We start from the raw sequence: 27,172 nt of genomic DNA on the forward strand, positions 1-27,172 counted from the left end.
GTCTCAAAAAAGATAAAAACACTTTAGGCGAAAAGCCAGACAAGGCTGATGCAATTTTTCATGCCAGCTCAGGAGGGAAAACTGCTGATGATGTCAACAAGTGGCAAAAGTCAAACTCCTGAAGTAAAACTGCCAGATGTTGATATGGCACCCTCAGTAATGCCTTCCTCTTCTGAAAAGTAAGTTGCATCAACCTCTTCCTTAGTTTTTTGGGGGTAAGTTAAAGTCAAGCAGTTTAACCATACAGTGCGCTGTCCCATCACACATCTTGCAGCTCCATCAAAAGTACAATTTTAATCTTTTTTTAATCTTTAATGTTTTTCCCCCAGGACTATCTTTATTGGCACGACTGTACTGTATAGTATAGGTGTTCACAGTACCATTTACTGTTATGAATACTGTACAGTTTGCTGTGTTTATTGTACATGAATACTGTATATGTGTACTGTGTGTACATAATTAAGAGTTAAAGCAGTACAATAATATACTGAGTACATTACACAAACATGCTATAATTAAAATATTTTTATTATAAAGAATAATTATAATTATTCAAGAAACACTGATAAAGTGTCTTTAAACAAACAAACAAACAAATACCCATAGAAGAAGGTTATGTGTTGACTGGTTGATAAAAATGTTTGGATCAGAGGCTCACAGAAGCTAACGCTGTATTTCCCCTAGCAACAATCATTCAGCATTCACTAATTCAGTGTGCACAGAAAATTCACAGAACCTAACTACCACGAGTAACAATTCACTGCATATAAATGTACATGTGTACATGTGCACATGTGTTAAGTATTTCATGACTCAAGCCTTTATATTTCTCACAAAGACACACTCCCTCAAGGGTAGAGATGACAGTTTTGGAACAATGAATACTTTTACTAAATGTTGGCAGAGCTGCCCTCAATGGTCCAACTCTCCTGGCTCTGGACTTAGAGATATATATATGTAAAACACACAAAGGGGATGAGACTTTTTCAATGTCTTATTCCCTGCTCCATCCCCCAACCCGCCAAATGACAAACTGTCATAAACAGGGAAACTGAAAACAAGTTATGCACATCTTTTTCTTTTATCTTCTAGATTGTTTCCTCCATCTCTCATTATTTTAAAATATGCTTGAGATGGATTTATAGTATTAATAAGAGGAAAGTTGTTCCTGACATTTTACCTAAATGCATGTTAACCACCAGGTCTCTCCCCTCGATTATTCTCAGGTACAGTGTAAGGCTCTAAACTGGGTGAATCTTTAATATAATTCTTTGGATGACAAGTGATTACCTGCCATAAAAAGATTTCACAGGGACAATTCTGTTTCTAGTTAGTATAAATTATCAGATACTAAGACATCTCTCTGGCCAAAATATTTCCCTCAATAGTTATACTCAAAAGGAAAGGTATGTCACCACTATGAGTTCACTAAAGACAAACACACTTGTAATAGGCCTTCCTGTATCTTTTAAACTCTGGTATGAATCTTTCGATGGTGAGTGAACGATGAACTGTGGCTGAAGGTCTTTCCACATTCATTGCATTCAAAGGGTTTCTCTCCAGTGTGAGTTCTCATGTGCTGAGTTAAAGCAAAGTTGTCACAGAAGGCTTTCTCACATTCTTTGCATTCAAAAGGTTTTTCTCCAGTGTGGATCCTATTATGCCGAACAAAATTTGCAGGTTGGGTAAAAGCCTTTCCACATTCTCTACAAACATAGGGCTTCTCTCCAGTGTGAATCCTCATGTGTCGAGTGAAGGAAGAGCTATAGTAAAAGGCTTTTGCACATTCTTTGCACTCCAAGGGTTTTTGTCCACTGTGGGTCCTATTATGTCGAATAAAAACAGAGTGGTGTGTAAAAGCCTTTCCACATTCACTGCACTCATAAGGCTTCTCACCAGTGTGAATCCTCATATGTTGAATTAAGGAAGAGCTGTCACAAAAGGCCTTCCCACATTCTTTGCACTCAAAGGGCTTCTCTCCGGTATGGGTCCTCTTATGTCGGATGAAAGTGGAGCGATGAGTAAAGGCCTTTCCACATTCACCGCACTCATAGGGTTTCTCTCCAGTGTGAATCCTCATGTGCTGAGTGAAGGATGAGTTGAGGCAAAAGGTTTTTCCACATTCTTTACATAAAAATGGTTTTTCTCCTGTGTGGGTCACATTGTGCTGGATAAATGTGGAGCGGTGCGTGAAGGCCTTTCCACATTCACCGCACTCATAGAGTTTCTTTCCAGTATGAATCCTCATATGTTGAGCAAATGAGGAGCTGTAGTAAAAAGCTTTCCCACATTCTTTGCATAAAAAGGGTTTTTCTCGAGTGTGAGTCATATTATGCTGGATAAAAGAAGAGCGGTGGGTGAATGCTTTGCCACATTCTTTGCACTCATAGGGCTTATCTCCGGTGTGAATACGCTGGTGCTCCGTGAGGTGAAACCTGCGTTTGAAGGCTTTCCCACACTCAATACACTTGTATGGTTTTTCCCCAGTATGAAGCCTCATATGTCGAATGACATCAGCCATATAACGACAGGCTTTCCCACACTCATTGCACTCATAGGGCTTCACTCCAGCATGAATCTGTTGATGCCGAACAAGGGCCCACTTCTTGCTAAACCCTTTCCCACATTCCGTGCATGTGTAAGGGTTATTCCTTGCATCAGTCATGGGGTCTTTTCCTGGTCCTTGAGAGTCACACTCATGGAGAGCATCTTGTGGAGTGACTCGTTCCTGTAAAACCCTTAAGCCCAGACTATCATCTGGCTCCAAATCATCATGTTTATAACTCAACTTCTCAGGGCATATCTCTTTGTGGGGGTTTGTTCCTGGCCTCAAGTTCCCTTCCTGAATTTTTATTAGCTTTTCCTCATCTCTAGCTTGCCCCAACCTGGAATCTCTTGAGGATCTCTGTGCCAGAAGTTCCTGGAAAGAGGATTCCTCAGAGAAGGCCAGCTGAGAAGCAGTAGGCTCTGTAATCTTGGGTTTTGCTTTTTCACCTGAAGGAAATCCAATATAAAAAAAACTGAACATTAGTGATGTCAACAGAACAAACAAAATCACCACTTTAGCAGAAGAATGAAGGTGAAAACAGTGTCTCTGATGCCTACTGCATTTTTACATCTCTCAAAACCAGGCTTGCAATTTCTTTCCTAATGCTTGGACTCTTGAGATCTTTAAAAGGAAACCCAGAAGGAAAAGCAAGGGCAGGGGGCAAAGAATCTGGAATGGAGACCGCTCCTCACTCTCCCAAATGAGGGAGAGTGGGCAGACTAATAATTACAATGTGTGTGATGAATGTGCTCTGACAGAGGCAGTCTCATGGTGCTATGACAATGTAGGGAGGATACACTTAACATGGCCCAGATGAGAGACAGAGAGGGATCAGAGGATGTCTTGGATCACAGCACCAAGAAAAGGTGAGCTACGTGGGCTTTCTTTAAAAAGGAGAGTAGGAGTTCCCAGACAGAGGAATTAGGAGGGAAACTTCGGCAGATGAAAACAGAATGTACAAGGGCTGAAAGTCTTGAGAGAATGCTGATTGCTGAGTAATGTAAATGGGATGACATGATGGAGATGAGGATGGAAAGGCAGGCAGAGACAGAGAAGAAACAGACTCTCAGGATTCTCACCTGTGTAAAAGTGAGAAGGGTGAGAACCAGCTAGATGAACATAATGAGTCTGCAATGTCTGAATAAAGACTAAGTGAACATACACAAAATAGGTAAGATCTACATGAAGAAAATTGTAAAACTTAAGACACTAAAGATCTATATGAAAAGAGATTAATCAATATAAAGTTATCAGTTCTCCCTAAATTCACTTCTAAATTCAATACAACATCAGATAAAATCTCAATAGGGTTTTTCACAGATATTGACAAGCTGACTGTGGATAGAGATCAGTCAGCTGATATAGAGACCAGGATAACTCTGAAGAATAAAGCAGGGGCCTTACCCTATGAGGACTTAGTATTATGATGAAACTATATGCATTCAGGCAGTGTGATTAGGCATAGATATAAGACAAACGGTGAAAGGGAAAAATGAAATAGAGAACTCAGAAATGTATATATGTAACTTTGATATATGATAGAAGCAGCAGAGAAGGCCATTGGGAAAAGGAGGAACCATTCAATAAATGGATCTAGAAAAATTATTTGCCACATGGAGAAAAATGAAATAATATTCCTACCTCATACCACATACAGAATTACCTCCAGAGTGATTAAGACTCAACTGTCAGAAGCTAAACATTAAACATATTTTGTATATAATAAAAATGAGTATCTTTTGAGAAAGATTTCCAGAACAAGATATAAAAGCATTAATCATAAATGAAAAGAGTAGTCAATTTGACTAGAGTAAATATAATAAACAAAAAAGCAAACAAATAAAAAACATAACATTAGTATCAGATAGCAAACTATAGACCTAAGCAAATGAGACAAAGAGGGACTTCACAAGATGAAGAGAAGACCATGGCGCCAGGAAGACAAAATCGTCTTAAATCTGTATGTGCCAAACACCAGAGCCTCAAAATACATGAACCAAAAACTGAGTTGAAAGGAGAAATAAACTCAGAATTATGGTTGGGAACTTCACTCTACCCCAAAATGAACATATTATGCACTGATATTTCACAGAAGACATACATTGCCCAGTCAACATAAGAAGTGTTCACCTTTCTTGGTAATAGGGGAAAAACAAATTAGGACCACAATGAGATGCCCCATTTTATACTCGCTAGGTTGAAAAAACTAAAGGACCGGACAACATCAACTATTGAAGAGGAAGTTGTTCTATGAAATCATTCAGATAAGGCAAGGGAAGTGAAATGGGTATAACCATTTTAGGAAACAACAGAGCATTATCTAGTAAAATTCTCCTTTTGCTCATCTTATAATCCAGAAATGCCAGTCCAAGGAACTTTACTAAGAGAAACTCCTATAGATGTGCCTGAGGACACATATATATGAATTATGGCAGCATTGTTTGTGATAACAAAAAACAATAAGCAAACATTTTCAAGCTCTCCCTGAAAATGGATAAATACATTGTGTTATATTCATGCAATTGACTCTAGCAGGAAAAAAAATGAGTGAACTACAGCTATATGCATCATGAATGTTAGTAACTTACTGTTGAATAAAGAGTGAAAATGCCAGAAGACAATATAAACCACAATACACTTTTTATAATGTTCAAAAAAAGCAAAATACACACACACAAGAATACAATGTAACAACCTTTTATTTTTTTGAGGTTTATCAGTTTTAAATGGCATTATAAAAAGATATGTAGATATGTTAAATATATTTTTCTGACTTTTTATTGTGATAAAATACAAAATTTACCATTATGAGATGAAACAATCTTAAAAAGTAATGGGAAGACAAAGATAAAGTAGGCAAATATTTTACATTACTCAAATTACCAAAACGGACAAACAAAAACAGAACATCTGAATAGCCTATATTTATGAAAAAAACCTGAATCTTCCTACAGAATAAGCAATGGAATAACAAATCTTAAAGTGGCCATGTATGCAAGGGAGGCAGCATAGGAATGGGAAAGGAAAGAAACACATCAACAGATGCAGGAAGCAGGTCATGTTCTTGTACTTGGCGAAAGGTTTGTAGGTGTTCATTACAATCTTTTTAAAGGAGGATGAATAAATATATTAATAAAATGCAATGAAAGAAAATAAAACAAAAAACCAGGACACGCATTGACTAATGATGACAATGTGTCATAAATCATTATTTATAATTTTTCTAATTCTGCACACCTAGGGACAATTATGAAAGTCAGAGGGGGGCCAGGCATGGTGGCTCATGCCTGTAATCCCAGCACTTTGGAAGGCCAAGACAGGCGGATCACTGAAGGTCGGGAGTTCAAGACCAGCCTGGCCAACATGGTAAACTTCTTGTAAGAAGTGAAGGCACTGAGGGAAGGCCATGTGAGCACAAAGTGAGAAGGCGGCCATCTGCAAGCTGAGAAGACAGCCCTTATCAGAACCCAACAATGCTGGTACCCTGACCTTAGACTTGCGGCCTCTAGACCTGAGAGAAAACACATTTCTGCTATATAAGCCACGCAGTCTATAGTATTTTATTACAGCAGCCAGAGCAGACTAACACACTTTTCTAAGATTCACTTTCCTCATCTGAAAAACTGGGATACTCTCAGTTCCTGCCTACAAGTTGTTAGGAGAAAAAGCATACAAAATATTGATTTGTGGCTGGGTGTGGGGGCTCACACCTGTAATCCCAGCACTTTGGGAGGCTGAGGCAGGAAGATCACTTGAGGCCAGGAGTTACCAGCCTGGCCAACACAGCAAAACCCTATCTCTACTAAAAATACAAAAAATTCAGCCAGGTGTGGTGGTGCATGCCTGTAATTCCAGTTACTCAGGAGGCTGAGGCACGAGAATCACTTGAACCCAGGAGGCAGAGGCTGCAGTGAGCCGAGATTGTGCCACTGCACACTAGCCTAGGCGACAGAGTGAGATCCTGTCTCAAAAAAAACCCAAAAACCAAACAAAAGTTCATTCGTGTGACAAAGAATAAATGTTTGGTAAACTGTAGACCACTGTCTATTATCATTATAGTTGAATTTAGCAATCAGGATGGCAACAGTGACCTGGGCAAGAACACTTTAAGTGCTGTGGTGCTGAGAAACACCACTACCAGGCATCAAAGAGTAAAGGGAAAGACACCAACTGCTCAGGCGTACATGGAACAATGAAGACTCTCATACGTGGCTAGTGGAAATGTGAAATGGTGTAGTTACTCTGAAACTGGTGGTTTCGATTAAAGCTAATCATATGCCCACACTTGATCTGGCCAGTCCACTTGTATGTATATTCCCAACAGAAATATGGGTTTATATCCAACAAAAAATACAATCAAGAATATTCATAAGAGTAGTCTTCATAATATTCCAAAAATGGAGACCAAGTCAAATGTCCATCAATAGGAAAATGGGTATATGTAGTCTATTCATTCAATGATGGTAATGAACTAACTCCAACTATATGCAACCACATGAATGAATCTGAGTCATAAAGATTATCAAAAGAAGTCAGGACAGAGTATGTACTAGGGGGTTCTATTTATATGCCTTCAAAACTAATGTATGGTGATATAGAGTATAAACACTGACTACTTTTATAGAAGGGGATACTGACAAAGAATGAGCACAAGGAGCCTGTTAAGTGCTGAAAACACTGTATTTCTTGAACTGTGAGATGGTTTCTCTGACTTGTACATATATAAAACTTTATAGAAATGAAACTTTATGATTTGTACACTTATTATGTATAAATTGCACCTCAGTACAAAAATAAGGGAAAAAATAAATAAAGGAAAGTCTTGTGTAGATGTCTCTTCAAAGAATGAGAAGACTTCTCCAACAAGCTTGGCTGTTCAGGTGAAATAGAGTCAACAATATGTAGATGCTGCTGGAGACGTAAGAGCACTAAAAAAAAAAAAGTCTCCCCCAGGTATCAGAAACATCATCATTTTTTTTTAATGTTGAGTAGAGAGGGGATGAAAATATAGAAGAGGTAGGAAGTAAGTGAAGAAGCATGTTCCCTGATGCAGCTGAGAGATTCACGTATGGCTTCTCATGATCCCCAAGTCATAGTGTTCACACCCTTTTGTAGTTCCCCTGTTAAAATGTTGGCAGGACCTCGATTTGCTTCTAAAGTATAGAATATGGCAAAGATGATGGAATGTACATGATAAAATATATGTAATTTTATAAGACTGGAACATCCGTCTTGCTGGAGTCTCACACAGTGGCTTGATTTGAAGAAGTGAGCTGATGGTGATGATGAGCTATGAGCTGCCTATGACACGCCTGAGAGGACCCAGCTAAGCTGTGCCTGGACTCCCAATCCATAGGTGGGAGATAATAAATAAGTGATGTTTTCAGCTGCAGGGTTTGTGGTAATATTGTTACATATTAATAGTAGATGGCTAATACACCTGAGAAGGCAGAAAGTGTAATCTAGATTCTGCTGGAGAAATTAGCCATGGCCAGGATGATAACTCTTCCACAGAAGTGAGAAGGAAGCTGCAGGATAAGTCAGATGAACATGAATCAGTAAGTGTCAAAAAGCAAGAAAATCAAGTGTGTAGGCTTTATTCATAAAGTAGGTCAGATGCTCTGACATCAGTGGCAAGGGAGGCGGTGATACATGGAACATGTGAGTGGATGCAGATATAACACACAGGGCTGACCAGATGCACAGAGCACATGGGGGAAAACAGCGAGGAATCTGGTAGCATTATGCAGGCAAGAGATGATCACTTGGCCTAGAGTACTAATGCTGGAGCTGATGGAAACTAGTGAAGGTGAGGATTCAGGAGACATGAGTGATGTGAAATGGTCAAGATTCGGGGATGGCTGGATATTGGGTATGAGGGAGATGGAGGTGTTGAGGGGTTGTCCACGTTTGTTTTTAGCCTTCTCCACTCATTGAAAGAGGCATTAGCTGAAAATGGGGGTGATCATGAGGTCCTTTTAGGCATGATGAGTGTGAGGTGCCTCTGAGACATTCAAGTGAAGATGTGGAATAGGGGAGAGGGGTGAAGGCTGACTGAGCAGGCAAGAAGGACACTAGAGGGGTGAGATGGTGAATCTACAGTGTCACAAATCCACCTGCTTGATGGCTCCAGCTTCCTCTGGCAGCCCAGATGTGGGACTGACAAAGGCAATCATCACCTTGAGGTTTTTAGAAGACAGGAGGGCCAGAAAACAACAGGGCTAGGGAGTGCTTCTGCGTATCTGATACATAAATGAAAAGATGAATGGATGGATCAATAAATGACGGGCTGGAGAAGGTGAAAAATGGTGGGATGCAGAGTGTAGTTTGAAATAGTAATCTGCAGGAAAAGAAAGGACTGTCTTCTGAATGCAGAAGAATGTCTGAGCTATCACTATTCCTTATGACTAACACTACATTAATATTACTTACAAGTAACTTCTGTTGAGCCACTCCGGGTCAGGCAGTGTGCTAGGCAGTTTCCTGCTATGTGATCACATTCCCAAACAACCCAGTCATGCAGAAACTATCATCACTATCTTTCAAATGTAGGCTAAGTGTATCAGATAAGTATATGTTCACTATACCCATAGGCTCTTCTCCTTGGGTATAAAAAAGCTAAACCACATTTCCCAGCCTGATACAACATGTAGCCTAATACCCAGTTCTTGTGGATGAAATGTTAATGGAAGTGACTACTGCCCTTCTCTCCCATTCCTCTTGGCCGGGGCAACCTTAAAGCTGCATATTGACAACAGAATGCATGTGATCCATAAATAAATACAGGGTACACAGCTTTCCTGCTGACCCACATTGGGCTATGGCATGGATAAAAAAACAAAACAAAACGAAACTTAATCTGTTGAGTCACATGATTTTGGAGTTTATTTTTCAGAGAAGGTCATTAACTCAGCCTAACTTATATACCAAAGGCACAGTGACGTCACACAACCTCTCCAGAGTCATGAGGCTAGTGAGTGGCAAATCATTAAAGCCTAGAATCTGTCTCCTACCTAACATATTCCAACCTGAATAAAGGCAAAGAGTGTGTGACAGAAGTGGGAAGACGGGGGACCATGGGGTCAAGGGCTCCATGACTGCTCAAGACCACAAAATAGCTGCCCATGGCATTTCAGACACAGTGATGCCTGGGTGGTCTGCAGGCTGCCCTGATACCCGCTGCCAGACTCTCAGTCACCAACCTGCGCAGGTGCTTTGGGAGAGGCCTCTCTTCACTGTCCACAGTTCCTGTCCATGTTCCAGTAGATAGATCAGCTCTGGTTTGGGAACAGGATGCCCTGTGCATGGAGAAACAAATGGAGTATGGTGTACAGGGAAAGACAAAAAGAAAAGTCTGAGGTGTAAAGGAGTACATATATTTAACATACTGCAATGAAACCCCAGAAAGGGCCCTCCCCTGCCTCACCAAAAGTATTCCCTAATTAACCTAAGTCAGTAGGATTCAACCACCCTGTGCATCAAAACTACCTAGCAACACCCAGTTCCAAAAACAGAACAAATTAAACCAAATCTCTGAGCAGAAGGACTGAGTGCTGGTAGTTTTTAAAGCTCCCCAGGTGATTTTGGTGCCCATGATGGTTGAAAAACACAGGACTAAATCGCCTGATGAATGGCATCTATTGATAGTCAGTTGTGTGAGGCAGGCCAGTGACTGAAGCTGAACATGGAGGCCTACTGCCCCACAAGGATACTGGCCAGGGCCCTAGACCAAGGAGAGAAAGCAGACAGAGAACTGGGTTAGCATGGATTGGCACTGACCAAGCCAGGAGTCAGCAGCACCTCAGGGCTTCTCATTAGGTAAAGTAAGAAATTATTTTCAGGGTGAAACTGGCAGGAGGTGGTCTTCTTCCACATGCAGCCACACACATTTTGCCAACTGTGAAGGCTAAGACAGAAGACTCTGGAGAGAAGTCAATGACTGAGGCACCAGGACCCAGAAGCATCAACTGGAAAATCTTGTCCTGGCACGCATCCAGCTGTCACTTAGCAAATGTTCACCATAGGATTACGCACACTTACATGCCACATGCACACTCAGCAAATGTTCTGCCATATGCTTGGCACTGAGCTGGGTGATGAGCAGCATTAAAGGGGAATCAGGCCTGCCTTCATCTCTGTTAAGGAATCAAGCACCCTGCTCCCACAGGGATGCTGCTCATGTTGGTCCCTCCTCCTGGAATGCTGTTCCCCATACATCTCCTTTCGACAACTAATCACAGTTGTCATAAAATAACACCACGTTTACTTCATTAATGACTCATCCCTCGTGAGGACGCAGGACTGGGAGAGCCCTGTCGATGGTAACCATTTGAACAACTGGAATAAGTGAGACTTTGGGCCTCCATTCATATCTACTCAGACCAACTTCTGGGCAAACTGTCCATTAAAGGTTTAGGTGGGAGAGCATTTGGTATTTATTAATTTGTTAAATGTAACAAACACATGCAGAACACTTGCTATGTTTCCAGCTCTATTCTAAGCACTTTACACATATTAGTTACCTTGCTGTGACAGGTTACTATAAAAATGGCAAAATCAAAATGATAACAGGTCCCAGCAAGTTCCTGCTGCCTGCTTGAGGCTAGGAGTTTGAGGCTACTCTTTCTACTGAGGAGGAAATTCACCAACAGCTATGGGAGTGTTAAAGATTCAGCCCTAAGCCAACACTCAACATTCAAGAGACAGGAAAGAGAAAAGAAAAAAAGAACAGCTTTCTCAGATAGCATACATCCATGCCATTTGAGAATGTGTCTGTGCTCCCTTTCCATAATCATAATCATCTCCTGTAGCAGCAGAGGAGCAAGGCACAGGCCTTAGGAAGTAAGGGTTAACTGTGCAGGTGCTAGGAGCCAAAGAGACCTTTCAGCTGAGACTGTGTTGCTGAAAAAGATATAAGCAGCACTGATAACAAACACCTTCTTAGTGTCTGTGTCAATCACCCGCTGCTTGTAGAACCTCCCATTATCCACAGGTCCTGCTAACTGGGCTGTGAGGACATTTGACTCAACCAAGCTGGGCCAATTACCTCTTGTGGCAGTCTGGGATAAAGATGTCAGACTGAGGCCAGCTGTGCTAGACAGTGGGATAAAAGTGTTGAGGAGGACTGTGTTTCTTACATAACAATCTTTGATTGAGACACAGGGAAACCCAGCAAGAGGAGGTCAGACCACAACGTGCTGAGGCTGCAGGGATCAGGGAAGGTTGGGTTCTGAGGCTCCTGGACCAGCCATGCCTAGAAAGGGTGGATTCAAAGAGGCTGTGGGTCCCCTACATGGGAGGGTAATGAGGTCTTACCCAGTGAGACCAGGAGCCTGCAGGTCTCCAGCATCACCTCCTGGTACAGGGTCCTCTGGGCCAGGTCCAGGTGCCCCCATTCCTCTCCAGTGAAGGTCACAACCACGTCTTCAAATGATACTAATGCCTGGGAAGTCAAACAGAGGTGACAGGTGGCTGTGGAGCTATTAGGTGAAATTACAGCTCACTTCTTGGTTACTGGCAAAGGGTCCAGAGACCCTGAACCACTGAGCAACTCCTGAGAACCACTGGGCTCTGTGGAGGCAGATGGTGCCGCTGACAGAATACAAAGATGTGGGACAGAAAAGCCTCCTATGTTGGAAACCATTGGAAAATGATACAAGACAATGATAATCCCATCTGACTGTGAGGAGCAGACAGTAATGTCCTAGGACATTACAAGAATGGGGAAAAATAATAATTCAAACAATAATCACAGCAGCAGCAGCTGAGCCTCACTGGTCTGCACTGTTTGCCTGCACCTGAGGGCTTCACATGCTGTGTTCAAGCAACTAAAAGTCTCCAGGTCTGGAATCAGGCTCCTGAAGTTTAAATCCAGCCTCTTGAACCAACCTGCCAGATGTGTGACCTTGGAGAAGTCTCTTAATTTCTTGGAGCTCCAATTTCCACATCAATACATTAATAGTTCCCACTTCACCGAACTGTTGTGAAAATTAATGAGAAAATGTTCATAAAGCAAACACTGCAGTGCCCAGCATGTGTTACAATGTGTGTAAATTTCAATAGTCATCCTATAGCCCATGATGTAAATGTCATCATCTCCATTTCACAATCAGCAAATTGAGGCTCAGAGTCAAGTCACTCAGAGTTGTATGTCTAATGAGCAGAAGCAGGATTTGAACCCACATCCCTCGGGTCCAGGATCTATGGGTGTAACCCCTGTACTCCTCCATCACCACAGTGAATCCACAGTGACAAGGGCTAAAAATACTTCCTACAATTTTTACAGTTAAAACAATTTCAGCCACTCCTGAAAATATTGCCAGAGGTATGGAAGGAAGAGCAGAGCCTTCCTTTGCCTCATAGAAGAGGCACCTGAAGAGGTGCCAACTGCCTAGGGCTTGGGAGAGCTCAAACAAAGTTTCCCTGCCCTCAGGCAGCTGGGACTTGTAGACTCCCTGGAATATCCCACAATGAGCGCCAACCTGTTCTTTTTCTTCCTGAGCCACGGTTAGCACATTTCCCTTAGGTACAGGTAACACAAGTGGCCAAGGGCAATGCAGGCTGTGGCTCTAAGAACCTGGCAGCTGCCTTAAGCACCACGTCTGTCCTGGGTGAGAATGGGATGTTGGCATGATGATCATCAGATGATCACACAAGACACGTCAGCAGGTGACAAGCCTTGGTGTCACTCTATGTCTCCTCATGCCTCTGCCTTTGTCCATGCAGTTCCCTTTGCCGGGAAGGTTCCCCAAAGACCCCTTCATTCCAATGTCCACCTGCTAGAGAGAGGCCTGCACCTTCCCCTTGCAAAGTGTACTTCAGCTGTCGCCCCCAGGGATCTCCAATCCACTGTGGGTGAAATATTGGTTAAAAATGTAAGCTTCTGGCTGGGCACGTCGGCTCATGCCAGTAAGTACTTTGAGAGGCCAAAGTGGGAAGACTGTTTGAGTTCAGGAGTTCGAGGCCAGCCTGGGCAACACAGTGAGCCCATCTCTACAAAAAATAAAAAAAATTAGCTGGGTGTGGTGGCACACACCGATAATCCTAGCTACTCAGGAGGCTCAGTGGGGAGGATTGCTAGTGAGCTGCGATGGGGCCACTGCACTCCAGTGTGAGCAACAGAGCTAGACCCTCTTTCAAAAAAAATAAATAAATAAAAAATGTAGGCTTTTATGCTCGACATACTGGATTGTTTCTGTTACTTATGAGCTATGCAACCTTGGGTAGTTAATCTGAGTCTCCGGTTCCTCTTCTGTAAAGAAAGGAAAATGAAAGAATTTTACTCTGAGAAGAAGGGCGTTAAATAAGGTAATACACAGAAACTGCCTCTCAGCACATTATCAATGCGCTCAGTGAAGACCAGCTACTATTTGTTGCTGTTAGTATTTTTCCTATTTGCTCCTGTCGCACCCTAGGAGAGCTCAATGCAGCACACATCCAGGAGCAGCCTTGCAGAGATCTGGCGACAATGTGACAGAGAAAATCGTCCAATGAGCTTGGCATGTGCAGGAGAGAAGAATGGCAGGGGGAGTGTCCTGGTGGATTGGGCAGTGACTTTGCAGCCATGGTGGGGTATGGGGTGGGGTTGGGTTAGATGAAATCTAAGTAGGATGGGAGCCCCAGAGGATAGAATCTCATTCATTAATCACTTATCGACTAAGTGGTACAGGCCCAGAACAGAATAGTTTTGGGCCTGGGGATGAAAAACAGAACAGAAGCTGACATTCTGGGGTTGGGGGACAGATCCTCAGCAATAAACAATCAAGATAAAGTCAGAAGACTCTAGAAAACAACACAAGAGTGAGAAGACCACAAAGACTGGGAGAGACTTTACATGATGCAACCAGGGAAGCTCTCTCTGAAGAGACCCTGGAACAAGGTTAGATTGAAGTTAGAGAACAGACCAGGTGAGGAAAAATGAATAGACAACTCCTGAAGGTGATCAGAGCTACGAGGAGTAAACAGTGTGACATGCTGGAGAGTAACTTGGGGCCTTATGTGCTCACACTCCAAGAGACATACATTCATGTACACTGTCATTAATGAATATTGTGCTGGATTTGCTTTTCAAATACAAGAGCATGTGTTAAACAGAAGCACGGATTCACTGCTGTTAGGCGGCAAGCCAGATTCATTTGTAATAAACAGACGGCATCTGCAAAGATAAATCCAATGAGCTTCTTGTCTTCTAGCCTCCTGCCAAAAATGCTGCTCCCGCCTCACCTCTTGCCCTCGAGGCTCTCATTCCCTCTCCCAGCTTTTGGTAGGGCCAGACTTCCGCTGGAATGATCCCCTAAAACAACAGCAGGACCTAGAGAGTCCTTCTTCAAAGACGGCACCTAGAGTGATGCTCTCCGAGCAGTGAAAGACAGGACCCACGTCACAAGCGTACCCTCTCCAGCTCCCTCCACAGAGAAAATTACTGAGACTCGCATTTTAGACCCGAGGGAATGGAGGCCGAGGGCAGCGAGGCGACAGCTCCAGGTTAGAGCCAGAGACAGGGACCTCTCCTTACAACTCCTGTCCTGGATTCAGGACCCTGGGTAGGAAGTGATTAGCCCTGCCCTCTCACCTCACCCTCTCCCGGGATCTCCATAACCTAGGGCATCAAAAGGGAGAAGCACAGAGTCCCGGCATCCGCCGTATTACAGCGGATGGGTGCATGCGGGCGGTGACCCGAGCTCGCGCGGGCTGCGGAACCCTCCACTCACCAACGCCGGCGCCGCCATGGGCCCAGGGGGCTGGGTGAGGCCGTGAGAGTCGGCGAGGAAGCCGGTCCTGCGGGCTCGGCCGACCCCGGGCTCCGGCTCTGGGCTGCGAGGGACCTCAGTCCCCGCCGTCGTGTAAAATGCACACAAGGTTCGCGGCGCCGCCTCTGCGCGCCGTGAGGACACAGGGCTGTCGCCAAGGCCCCAGGAAGGGTTTTGCAGACGCTTGTGGGGGTGGGATCGCGGCTGACATAAAAGCGTGTAAGTGGGTCCTATCCTCCTCACTGTCCGTCTCTACTCGGTCTCGAAAAGTGGCCCCTGTCTGGCGTTCTACCCAGTGTAGCGTTGGCAACCACAGCAGCCGCAACCTAACGGCGGACGAAGACTGGACGCCGGAAGTCCCGCCCACGCCGCTACGGGAACGCCCCTCTGCGCCTTCCGTCTATGGCTTGGGGTCGGCTTCCGTCCCTTGTAGCACTGCCTTCTGGGTAATGTAGTTTGACGGAATCCGGGTGGTACCTGGAGCGCACTTTCTGTTCTCGGTGAGGCGGCTTCTCAAGGCTCCCAAGAAAGGGATTGGCTTCACCTCTTCTTAAAGGAGAGGCACACAGAGTTCCGTGGAAATTATCTGAGGCAATGACCCACTCTCAAATGTCTCTACCAGGCAACTCACGCCTTGACTTTCCTCCCTGTGTATCCCTGCGCCAGCAGTTCATCTCTCTGAGCCTTGAGATGGAGATTCCTAAGGAAAATGAAGATAATTATTTAATATGATAATATTAAAATTTCCCCTATCAGTAATTTTCAGATGACATCAGCATTACCTGCGAATTTGTTACCAATGCAAGTTCTTAGTCCCCACCCACTGAATCAGGTACTCTGGGGGGTGGGACCCAGCCCTCTGCTTAACTTGTCCAGGAAAAGTGGATGCTGCAAAACATTTGAGAACCAGACTCTTTAAATTCCAGTAAATAAATGAGACAAAGCCACCTGTTTGGTGGGAAGTAACTAAGAATTGCTTAGCACTGGGCCTGGAACATACCGATAAGAACATAAGAGCTATTGCTGTCATTATTAATATTCTGTATTATTGGCAACATCATCACAATACACTGCTAGGGGAGGGTCTGAGATACTTCTTTGCAGACTCTGATATTTGTCAAAACAAATACGTTGACTGATTCAACAGGAGCCTCATGAATACTGTTTAAATTTTACATAATAATACGTTGCAGCATTTGGCGTATGCATCTTTTTAAAACGGTATATGCAGGAGGGTTTCCTAATATACAGGTAGACCTATTGCCCAAGGGATACTTTCTTACATGATTCAAAACTTAGGATCACTGAGACTAATTACCTGCAGCCCTAAGGGAAGAGTGGAGTTGACATGGTTTCTAGTTTGTGATGTAAGATGGCGTGTCACTGTTCATCTCTAATTCACAGCAACCAGGATCTGACCCCTCCCCATCTGCCCCTCCAGCCCCCAGGGAAGCCAGAACCAGGCACAAACCAGATGGCCCAGCTTATGCCCAGCAACTCAGGGTCACCAGATCTTGTCTCATCAAGACACTTTCAGCCCACCACCCAAACCTGTAGCCCACATGAAGAGGGCAATAATCCTGGACACTGTGAAAAGTAAAAGCATTACATCCAAAGAGGCATCCCCAGGATGGAGCAGAAATAAGAAAACATAATGAAGACACAATTTTGCAATCACTTCTGCCTATATTCCATGGCCTACAAACCACTCAAATAGCTCCACATGTAAGAGAAGCCAGGATGTGCTGTCCTCCAGAGCATCCAGAAAGAGATAATGGGACTGATAAGTCCTTGGCCATTTTCTAGTAAAATCTATTAATTTAGTCATCAGATTTCCATTCTATTATTTATCCTATACATTCTACACTCTCACATGCTTCTTAATGCGAGAAGCCAAAATCTGCATGCAGTCTCTGACCTCATCTGAATGTTAAGATCTCAGGGTGATATGTTATGCATCTAGTCCAGATTTTGGGTGGGGATGCAGCCAAACCATATAATATTATGGGGCCTGTTGGGAGGTGACTGGATCGTGAGGGTAGATTTCTCATGAATGATTTGATGCCATCCCCTTGGTGCTATTCTTGAGATAATGAGTTTTCTCAAGATCTGACTGTTTAAAAGTGTGTGGCATCTTCCCCTCACTCTCTCTTGCTCCTGCTCTCACCATGTGCTACACTGGCTCCCCCTTTGCCTTGCACCATGATTGGAAGCTTCCTGAGGCCTCACCAGAAATTGAGCAGATGCTAGTGCTATGCTTCCTGTACAGCCTGCAGAACTGTGAGCCAAGTAAACCTCTTTTCTTTGTAAATTACCCAGTCTGGGGTATTCCTTCGTAAATTACCCAGTCTCAGGTTTTCCTTTACAGCAAAGCAAGAACAACCTAACACATTTACCAACTTATGAATGGATAAACAAAATGTGATATATCCTTATAACAGATTATTCAGCCATAAGAAAAGACTGCAGTGCTGATATACAATACAGCATGGAGGAACACTGAAAACATGTAAGTGAAAAAATCAGCTACAAAATAACCACACAGTATATAATTCCATGTATATGAAGTGTGCAGGATAGGCAACTCTATAGAGGTTGAAGGTAGATTAGTGATTGCTTAGGGATGGTGGGTAGTGGTGGGACAGCCGATTGATATCTAAGGGATATGGAGTTTCTTTGTGAAGTGATGAAATGTTTTAAGAATAACTGTGGGGGATAGTTGCACATATATTTAAATATGTTAAAACCACTGAATTATGTATTTTGAACGTGTGATTTATATGGTAAGTGAATTATATCTCATGAAGGCTTTTTAAACAAAACAACACTGCTGTAACTTAGACCAAACCAAAGTTTGTGTCAAATCCTGCTATGTAATATTTGTTACATTTTATAGTCTAAAATCTAAGCTTTATTTATGAGGATACTCACTTCATTGCTGAGGTGTGTCAACAAAACATATTAGTAAATTTATACGAACAAAATATTAGACCTATTACTGCGAAAATACAAAACTTGGAAATAGGAAAATTTCTTTAAAAAGAATCCTATTTAGAGTCAAGGGAAGTTATGAAACACATCAAGGAAATGAGTAGTTGCTAAATATTGAGTTAATATGTTATACATTCCTTCTCAGTGATTACAGAATACTTATATCAAATGAAATTAGATGAAATATATATTTGAAAGGTAAACATCCAAAGTAGAATAAATTTATCATTTTGTATCCTAAGTAATAGAATTTCTTTGTTGCATTTACTTTCAATCAACAAAATAGGTAAGTGCTTTATTGCTACTACTTTGATTTATTTCAAAACCTCTTTGTACAATGTACAAAATGTAAATGTAACTTTAATGTAAATTGTTTTTATATAAATTGTGACTCAAAATATTTGGACAGACAAGTTGTGTGAGATGGGCTTTAGGCAATCATGCAATCCTAACTCATATTTCATACAGAATTCATATATTTTATTTACACATATTCACTTCACACAAGACTAGGGCTAAATTTAAGTTAATGGGTTTGATTATTATTTTCCCACATTAAATAACAACACTATTTATATACACCTCAGGGATATTCCCAGAATTTTAAACATGGGCTTGCGATTCTTCAGCTCTTGAATCAAACAAAAATGTTCTGGAGTTTTATAAACTAATTAGCAAGGCAGCGGCTGTTTCTATTGAATAATTCACTGCTATTTCTGTGATTCTAATAAATGATTGCAAAAACAGGAAATCACAACTAACCAAATTCCTCACATTATTAGTGAGGAATTAGTGGAGCCCCAAAGTGGGGCTCAGACTGTGAGGGTTCTTGGCTTCACCCAGGGAAGGATTCAAGGGCAAGCCAGTGGTAGAAGAAAACAGTTTTATTGAATAGGCAGTGTTACAGCTCTGTGACTGCCTCTGCAGAGCAGGGCTACCCCATCGGCAGAGAGTAGCAGCTCAGGGCAGTTTTGCAGTCATATTTATACCCACTTTTAATTACATGCAGATTAAGGGGCGGTTTATGCAGAAATTTCTGTGGAAGGGGTAGTAACTTTTGGGTCATAGGGTCACTGCCATGGAAAGGGGTAGTAACAGCCAGGTGTTGCCATGGCAATGGTAAACTGACATGGCACACTGGTGGGTGTGTCTTATGGAAAGTTGCTTCCACCTCATCCCTGTTTTAGATAGTCCTCAATTTGGTCCAATGTCTGACCATGCCTCTGGAGTTGAGTCTTGCCTCCTATCTTAAAACGATAAAAGCATTATGAGGAAATTGTCAAGCCCAAGGGTGAGGTGAAGAATTCTTAGATATGATACCAAAAGGGACATAAAGGGGACAAAACATGATCAATTTTTAAAATATTTGCTCTGGATATTTAAATATATATTTAAAATATATATTATATATATCCAGAGCAAATATTTTAAAAATTGATCATGTTTTGTATTATGTATATTTATCTATATTATATATTATATATTAATATATTATATATTATATATTAATATATTATATATTATATATTAATTAATATATAATATATATTATATATAATATATATTAATTAATATATAATATATGATATATATTAATTAATATATAATATATTATATATTAATTAATATATAATATATGATATATATTAATATATTATATATTAATATATTATATATAATCTATATATCTATATTATATATAATATTATGTATAAATATATATTTATATATATCATATATATAGGATATATATACTGGATATGTATAAAATGAAATATTATTCAGCCTTTAAAAAATGAGGAAATCCTGCCATGTGCAACAATATGGATGAACCCAGAGAGCATTATGCTCAGTTAAATGAGCCAGTCACAGAAGAACAAATATTGTATGATCCCACTTATATGAGGTATCAAAAAAAGTCAAACTCATAGAGGCAGAGAGCAAAATGGTGGGCACCAGGTCTGGGAGGAGGATAAGTGGGGAGATATTGAACAGGTACAAAGTTTCAGTATGCAAAGTGAATATGTTCTAGAGAGCTGCTGAACAACACAGTGCCTGTAGTTAACGATATTGTATACTTAAAATTTGTTAAGAGAGCAGATGTCAAGTTAAGCGTTCTTACTACAGTAAAAGGGGGGGAGGGGAGAGGTAGGAGGAAACCTTTGGAGATGATGGATGTGTTTATTACCTTGATTATAGTGATGGTTTCACAGGTATACACATATGTTCTAACCAACCAAGTTGTATACAATAAATATGTGCAGGTTTTTTTATATTAGTGACACCTCAATAGAGCTGTTAAAAAATCTCTGGGACACAGCTGAAAGACAATTTGAAGGGAAATCTATAATATTAAACACCTAAGAGAAAAAATGAAGGGTCTCAAATCATGGGTCTTAGTTTCCACATTAAATAACAAACCTGCAGGTTGTGCACATGTACCCTAGAACTTAAAGTATAATAAAAAATATATATATATAAGAAATCAGAAAAAGAAAAGAAACAAAATGATTCAGAAAAAGGATATACTAAAGATCAAAATGGAAATCGATGAAATAAGCAGAAAAAACTTAGAGAAAATCAATGAAACTAGAAGCTTGAGATCAATGAAACTGATAAACGTCTAGCAAAGTTTTATCAAGAAATAGATGTCTCCAGGTTTAGAGACATTTTGTTGCATGACATTGCCAAAGTGAGAATATTTACACCAGGGAAATTGGCAAACACTACAAGTCAGAATTTTGTTGACTGTACAGCCTGAAAAATGTAATGGAGAATATGTTAATAATGCAGATTAAATTTAAAAGTATGTTGTGTCTATAGCTTTACATTGTAAACAGCACAAAATTTGAGAAAATATTCTTCTAGTATCCAAAAATATTTCTCAACTTAGCAAACAAGTCACTAACACCATTCATGAATGACTGAAGTACTAACAAATTTCTTTGTTGTTTCATTGTACTCTTGTTAGTGAAAACAGAAATATCTACCCAACCAACATTCATTTTAAAAAGGCAAAAAATATGAATGGATATCTCACAAAAGTAGATATATGGGTGGCAAAAAAACATACAAAATAATTTCCCAAATCATGAGTCTTTACAGAAATGTAAGATACTACTTGGCACCTCCTATTGGAATGGCAAAAATTAAAAACACTGACAACACCAATTGTTGGTGAGGATGTGGAGAAACTGGAACTCACCAACACTGCTGGTGAGAACAAAAAATGGCACAACCACTTACATTTTTTTCAGTGGTCTTACTCTGTCACCCAGGTTGGAGTGCAATGGCACAATCCTATACTCAAATCCTGAACTCAAGCAATCTTCCCACCACAGCCTCCTGAGTAGCTAGCTGGGACTACAGGTATGTGCCACCATGCCCAGCTTTTTTTTTTTTTTTTTTTTTTTTTTTTCATTTTTTGAAGAGATTGAGGATCTCATTGTGTTGTCCAGGCTGGTCTCAAACTTCCAACCTCAAGCGATCCTACTGCCTTGGCCACCCTAACTGCTGGGATTACAGGTGTGAGCCATCATGCCCAGCCCTGACCTTTTTCCATAGTCACTACACTCATGAAAACTTTCATCAGAGTGAACTCTCTGATGTTTACTGAGGCTGGGGCTTTGGATAATTTCTCACATTTGCTGTACTCATAAGGTTTTTCTCTGGTGTGAACTCTTTGGTGTTGAAAGAGATCAGAGTAGTAGCTGTCAAATTTAACCACTGCTCCAGATGGAAAGGCAGGGTCTCCAACTCACATCTCTTAGGAGATGCACTCATAAGGCCTTTCTCCAATGTGGATTTGCTGATGCTGAGTAAATCTCACTTGCTGTTGAAAGGGTTTAATTTGCTGCACAGACTTTTCTTTAGTGTGAACTCGATGCATATTGAGAGTGGAGGCCTGTCTAAAGAATTCCCCATATTCTCTACACCCATAAGGCCTTTCCCCAGTGTGGACTCTCTGTTGCTAAACAACTGTGAAATTGTGGCTGAAGGCATTTCCAAGTTGACTGCATTGGTAATGCCTTTGCATGATGAGAAAGGCTGCTGCACATGGTATGCTCTTCTGTGGCTCCCCCATGCTAAGAGTGACCTGATGCTGGAGAAAGCCTGCTGTGGCTAGAAAGTCCCCATCCTCCCTGCATTCGAAAGGCTCTTCTGACGTGTGGTTGCTTCAAGTCTTCACAAGCAAGGTCCTCCCCTACTCCTTTCTGATGGACTTCTCTATATTCTCTGCATCTGTTGCTGGGGAAGGTTTACACTCACTCAGAATCTTCTCCACATACCACATGTGTATGATGATTTCTGCCCTGGGTGTGTTATTTGGTATCCAGCCAGGTGCAAAGTGTCTTTCAAGAGTAGACCACATGGCCAGGTGCAGTGGCTCATGCCTGTAATCCCAGCATTTTGGGAGGCTAAGGTGGGAGAATTACTTCAGGCCAGGAGTTTGAGACCAGTCTGGGCAACATGATGAGACCCTGTCTCTACAAAAAAATTAAAAAATAAGCTGGGTGTGGTAGTGTGCACCTATAGTCCCAGCTACTTGGGAGGCTGAGGTGGGAGGATTGCTTGAGCCCAAGAGGTTGAGGCTGCAGCTGTACCACTGCACTCCAGCCTTGGTGACAGAGTGGCACCCTGTGCAAGAAAGAGAAGAGAAGAGAAGAAATTAAGGAAGGAAGGAAAAAAGGAAGGAAGGAGAGAGACAAAGAGAGAAAGAAAGAAAGAGACAGGGAGGAGGGAGGAAGGAAGGGGAAGCAAGGAAGGGAGAGAGAGAAAGGAAAGGAAAGAAAGAGAGAGGGGGAGGGAGGGAAGGAAGGAAGGGGGAGGGAGGAAGGAAGAGAGAAAGCAAGAAAGAGAAAGAAGGAAAGAAAGAGAAAGAGAAAGAAAGCCAGAAAGAAAGAAAAGGAAGGAAGGAAGGGGAAAGAAGGAAGGGAGAGAAAGAGAGGAAAGAAAGAGAAAGAAAGAAAGGAAAAGAAAGAAGAAAAGTCAAAGAAAAGAAAAGAGAAAGAAAAGGAAGGGGCCGGGTGCGGTGGTTCATGCCTGTAATCCCAGCACTTTGGGAGGCCGAGGCAGGTGGATCACGAGGTCAGGAGATCGAGACCATCGTGGCTAACACGATGAAACCCCATCTCTACTAAAAATACAAAAAATTAGCCGGGCGCGGTGGCGGGCACCTGTAGTCCCAGCTACTCAGGAGGCTGAGGCAGGAGAATGGCGTGAACCCGGGAGGCGGAGTTTGCAGTGAGCCGAGATAGCGCCACTGTACTCCAGCCTGGGTGATAGAGCGAGACTCTGTCTCAAAAAAAAATAAAAATAAAAAAAAGAAAAGGAAGGAAGGAGAGAGAGAAAAGGAAGGAAGGAAATGAAAGAAAAGAAATAAAGAGAAAGAAAGAAAGAAGAAACAAAGAAAGAGAGAAGAAAGAACGAAAGAAAGAAGAAAAAGAAAAAATAAAATCACACACATGGCAGGTGTAGGTTCTGGGTGGAAGGACCTGCCTGGGATTCCTGACAGGTGACACTTTTTCAACACTATGTTCACAGAGAGAGCCCTTGCTTACCTTCCAATCTATGCCAAAAAACTGAAAGCAATGAAATGCTGGTAAAATTCTTGTTAGCTTGAGTGGGAGAGAACAGCCCCATCACAAATGTCTGACCCAGGAATGAGCCTGCGGAATTGTTCGTAAGACAAAGGTGCTGAGGAAGTGGAAGGAAGCAACTGCTGCGCAGTAGTAAGACTCTCAAAGTGACAGAATATAGGAGGCTTTAACAGTGCCGTGATCTTGCCAGAGTCAAGAATAGCAGGATGCAGTGCAGAAATGATAGAGGCAGGGTCTCCAGCTCACTTCTCCATAAGCACCCTCCAGCAGGGCTTTGGCTGCTGGTAAAACATGAGCCCTAAGGGTGTGTCCAGGCCCAAGAAAAATGCAATTGCACCTGAGTTGCTGGTGTTCAGGGACTATTAATGGAAATGCACATCTCACAACCCATGAATTGTAGGCTAATGTTGGAGAGCACTCCAGAGTGAGCAGTGGAGAGGGTGAGACATGGAGACCAGGATGTGGGGTGCAGCCTGGGGCCCAGTGTCAGAATAGAAATGACAAGTGGATACAGTTTCAAGAATGGGGAAGGAGTGATATGGATGAGGTATGGCCATTAGCTTTGGAACCCAAACAATGGTGAACAGGGACAGGTTACTGATATGTGAACCTAGTCCTGATGTCACACTCTCGTCTTCCTACTTCCCAAGGCCAAGGCCCCTCTAACCACCTCTTGTAATGGTTGTCATGGTGTCTGCTCTGTTCAGGCACCCAGGCCTATTCCACCATCTCCAGTTGGGCAACTAAATGGTTGCTAAGCACTAAGGGAAGCACCTTGGCAGGTGAGTGGCCAGCATTTGTTCAGAGGAACCACTCCACCACAGACTACAGGAAAGAAAATGGAAAACAAAATGAAACAAAAAGCCTATGAGGAATGTCTTGCAGAAACAAGTCGGCAGTCCCAGCCAAATAGTGATCTTCTTAGTGCCTGTAATTCCTGGCACAGCCAGGCCCCAGGAAATGCCAGCCAAAAAAGGGGACAGAATCTGCACCCAGAATTGCCCCGGAACTGGACAATCATTTGGGAAAGAAATGACTGAGCTGGATGGGATCTACTGGGCTGGCCTCAAAACTTCCCTGCAAGGCCTTGGGGTGGCAGTTGCTGGGGCTCCTTGGGGAGGGTACTGCTCAGAGAAGTGCACAGAGGTTCAGCACCCACAGCACATGTGCCAGGACAGCAGAGAAGTGAGAAGGGCCCATGCTCCAGCTGTGAGGACAGAGCCGCCTCTGGGGCAAGGGGACAGGAAGAAACCAGCTCAGGTCACTAGGGAAGATGTGAAGACCTTACTCAGCAAGGCTATAAATGCAAAGCTGTCCAGCATCACATTATGGTATAGGCGTCTCTGAGCCTCGTCAAACAGCCCCCACCTGCCTCAGGGAAAACTCAATGGCCATATCCTCAAAGGTCACACAGCCCTGCCATGATGGAGGCTATTGACTCCATGACTGTCTTCTCTCCTCAGGACCTCAGTCCATCTTCCCATACATACATCCCAAACCTACTCTCCTCCCCAACTTCCCAATTCAGAGGAGATATCAGGCACTGGTGACACTGGTGTTCACTCCCAGTTTGTACCCTGTTGATCACTGTGTCAGCCCACATTGACAACAGGCAGGCAGGCAGATAGACACCAAATGTACTCTGGGCCTGGCATGTGGGGTCTTTTAAAATGCACCTGGGATTTGTTTTAATTAGGTGTAGTGAGATGATGTACAGACAACTGCCATTGAAAGAAGATTTTCTTAACTTACAGTTCCCAAGATCCCAAGAAGAGGGGCCATGCCACGCCATGCAGGGCTACACAGGGAAGGATCAGGGTCAGAGAGGAGGCAGGAAGAGCAAAGAGGGAAGCAGGGGCAGGAGGTTTTATTGTGGTTTCACAGAAAGGAAGAGGCAAGGCAGGGTAGGTAAACTGAGCAGGCTAAGGATCGAGTAATCTGAATAATTTTAGTAAGCTCTGGGTTATATGGGTGCTCCTTAGTTGTCCAGTACCTGGCCCTGGAGTGATTTAGGGCAGGGGGACAGTGTCCTGGGCTGCAGGAACCTGATAAAAGCAGGCAGGTAGGAGTAGGAACTCAGACTGGTTGGCTATACATGAATGACTTACCCACAGGCAAGTGTTTATTTTCTAGGAATTAGCTGGCCCTGGGAGGGGTGGTCTCACCAGGATGAGCAAGCCCCCAATATGTCAAAGCATCAGAAAATATAGAAAATATTTTTTAAAAAAACATCCCCTTGTGATCAATACAAGGGGCCCAACGCCATCTCCCAGTGTCAGCAAGATCGTACTTACCAGATACAAACAAAAGGGCTCAGTCTTCTTCCTTAACCTCCCAGTACCATGGGCCAGTCATTAACTTCCTTCCCACAGGGGTAGCACTCTTCAGACTGCACCTGCCTCGTAACTCTAGGCCCCACCTGTGAAGCCCCAATTGCCGCTGCTACCCAACTCCTGGCCCACACCATGGCCATGTTCATAGGCTTTCCACAATTCCCTCTGTACATGGCATGCAAAGAGTGCTTGGCAAATGCAACCAGGAGCTCATCCTGCCCAAGACCCCCTGTATTCATCTCCCAGGGTTGCTGAATTGGGTGGTTTCAAACAAAAGAAATTGATTATCTGACAGTCTAGAGCTAGAAGTCTGAAATGAAGACGTTGGTAGGGCCATGCTGTCTTCAGTAGTTCCAGGGGAGAATCCTGCCTTGCTTCTTCCAGCTTCTGGTGGTTGCTGGCAATCCCTGGCATTCCTTGGCTTGTGGATACACCCCTCCGGTCACATGGCCATCTTCTCCCTGGGTGTCTTTATGTCATCTTCTCTCTGTGTGTGTCTGTCTCAGGGTCCACATTTCCCCTTTTTATAAGTATACCAGTCATATTGGATTAAGATGCACCCTCGGGATCTCATTTTAACACGATTACCTCTATAAAGACTCTATTTCCAAATAAGATCGCATTTTAAGGTACTGAGTATTAAGACATTCACATATATTTTGGGGGGAATACAACTCAAAATACCTTTGATGGCTCCCACTGGCAAGGGCAGCGCCCAGTTCCGATTTGAAGGCCTCCCAACATGGTGGTGATCCTGGCTTCAACCTCAGTCATTAACCACACACAGATGTTTGACACTTATTAATAGATCCTCTTTCTCTTCTGTGTTGTGCATTCTATTCCTTCATCACCATGGGTCACCACAAAAGCCTAGTGTGTCCAGAGACTGGTGAATAAACTCCATCCCAGATCTTACTGTAATTCCACCTCCATTCTGGCTAAGCCTCAACA

At 42.6% G+C, this 27,172-nt stretch overlaps 1 protein-coding gene and 1 long non-coding RNA gene across 6 annotated transcripts in view, besides 2 other annotated features; one reads left to right on the forward strand and one right to left on the reverse strand.

Annotated features, from left to right (window-relative positions):
* Positions 1-507: 507 nt before the first annotated feature.
* ZNF599 (zinc finger protein 599) overlaps positions 508-27,172 on the reverse strand; it is a 49,529-nt gene continuing 22,864 nt past the window's right edge. For 3 of the 5 annotated variants that reach the window (XM_047438256.1, XM_047438255.1, XM_047438254.1), the window contains 4 exons: positions 15,775-15,997; positions 11,864-11,990; positions 9,751-9,846; positions 508-2,994 (listed from right to left, as the gene is read on the reverse strand). In XM_047438256.1, the coding sequence (XP_047294212.1) occupies positions 1,469-2,994; positions 9,751-9,846; positions 11,864-11,897 (1,656 nt within the window). In that variant the 5' untranslated portion in view covers positions 11,898-11,990; positions 15,775-15,997 and the 3' untranslated portion in view covers positions 508-1,468. Of the gene's footprint in view, positions 2,995-9,750; positions 9,847-11,863; positions 11,991-15,258; positions 15,651-15,774; positions 15,998-16,079; positions 16,594-27,172 lie in introns of those variants that run through there. The other 2 variants (XM_047438257.1, NM_001007248.3) reach the window with 2 other exon arrangements.
* Positions 15,301-15,360: a silencer, noted in NCBI's record as "silent region_10509". NCBI's record gives its function as "represses an Ori minimal core promoter by ATAC-STARR-seq in GM12878 lymphoblastoid cells {active_cell/tissue: GM12878}" and the evidence as "EXISTENCE:reporter gene assay evidence [ECO:0000049][PMID:35858748]".
* Positions 15,471-15,580: an enhancer, noted in NCBI's record as "active region_14452". NCBI's record gives its function as "activates an Ori minimal core promoter by ATAC-STARR-seq in GM12878 lymphoblastoid cells {active_cell/tissue: GM12878}" and the evidence as "EXISTENCE:reporter gene assay evidence [ECO:0000049][PMID:35858748]".
* LOC124904696 (uncharacterized) lies at positions 15,782-17,124 on the forward strand. Its single transcript, XR_007067234.1, has 2 exons — positions 15,782-16,129; positions 16,702-17,124. It is a non-coding gene; the product is annotated as an uncharacterized LOC124904696 (long non-coding RNA).

This window comes from Homo sapiens, chromosome 19 (genome assembly GCF_000001405.40).
Source record: "Homo sapiens chromosome 19, GRCh38.p14 Primary Assembly".
Taxonomy (NCBI): domain Eukaryota; kingdom Metazoa; phylum Chordata; class Mammalia; order Primates; family Hominidae; genus Homo; species Homo sapiens.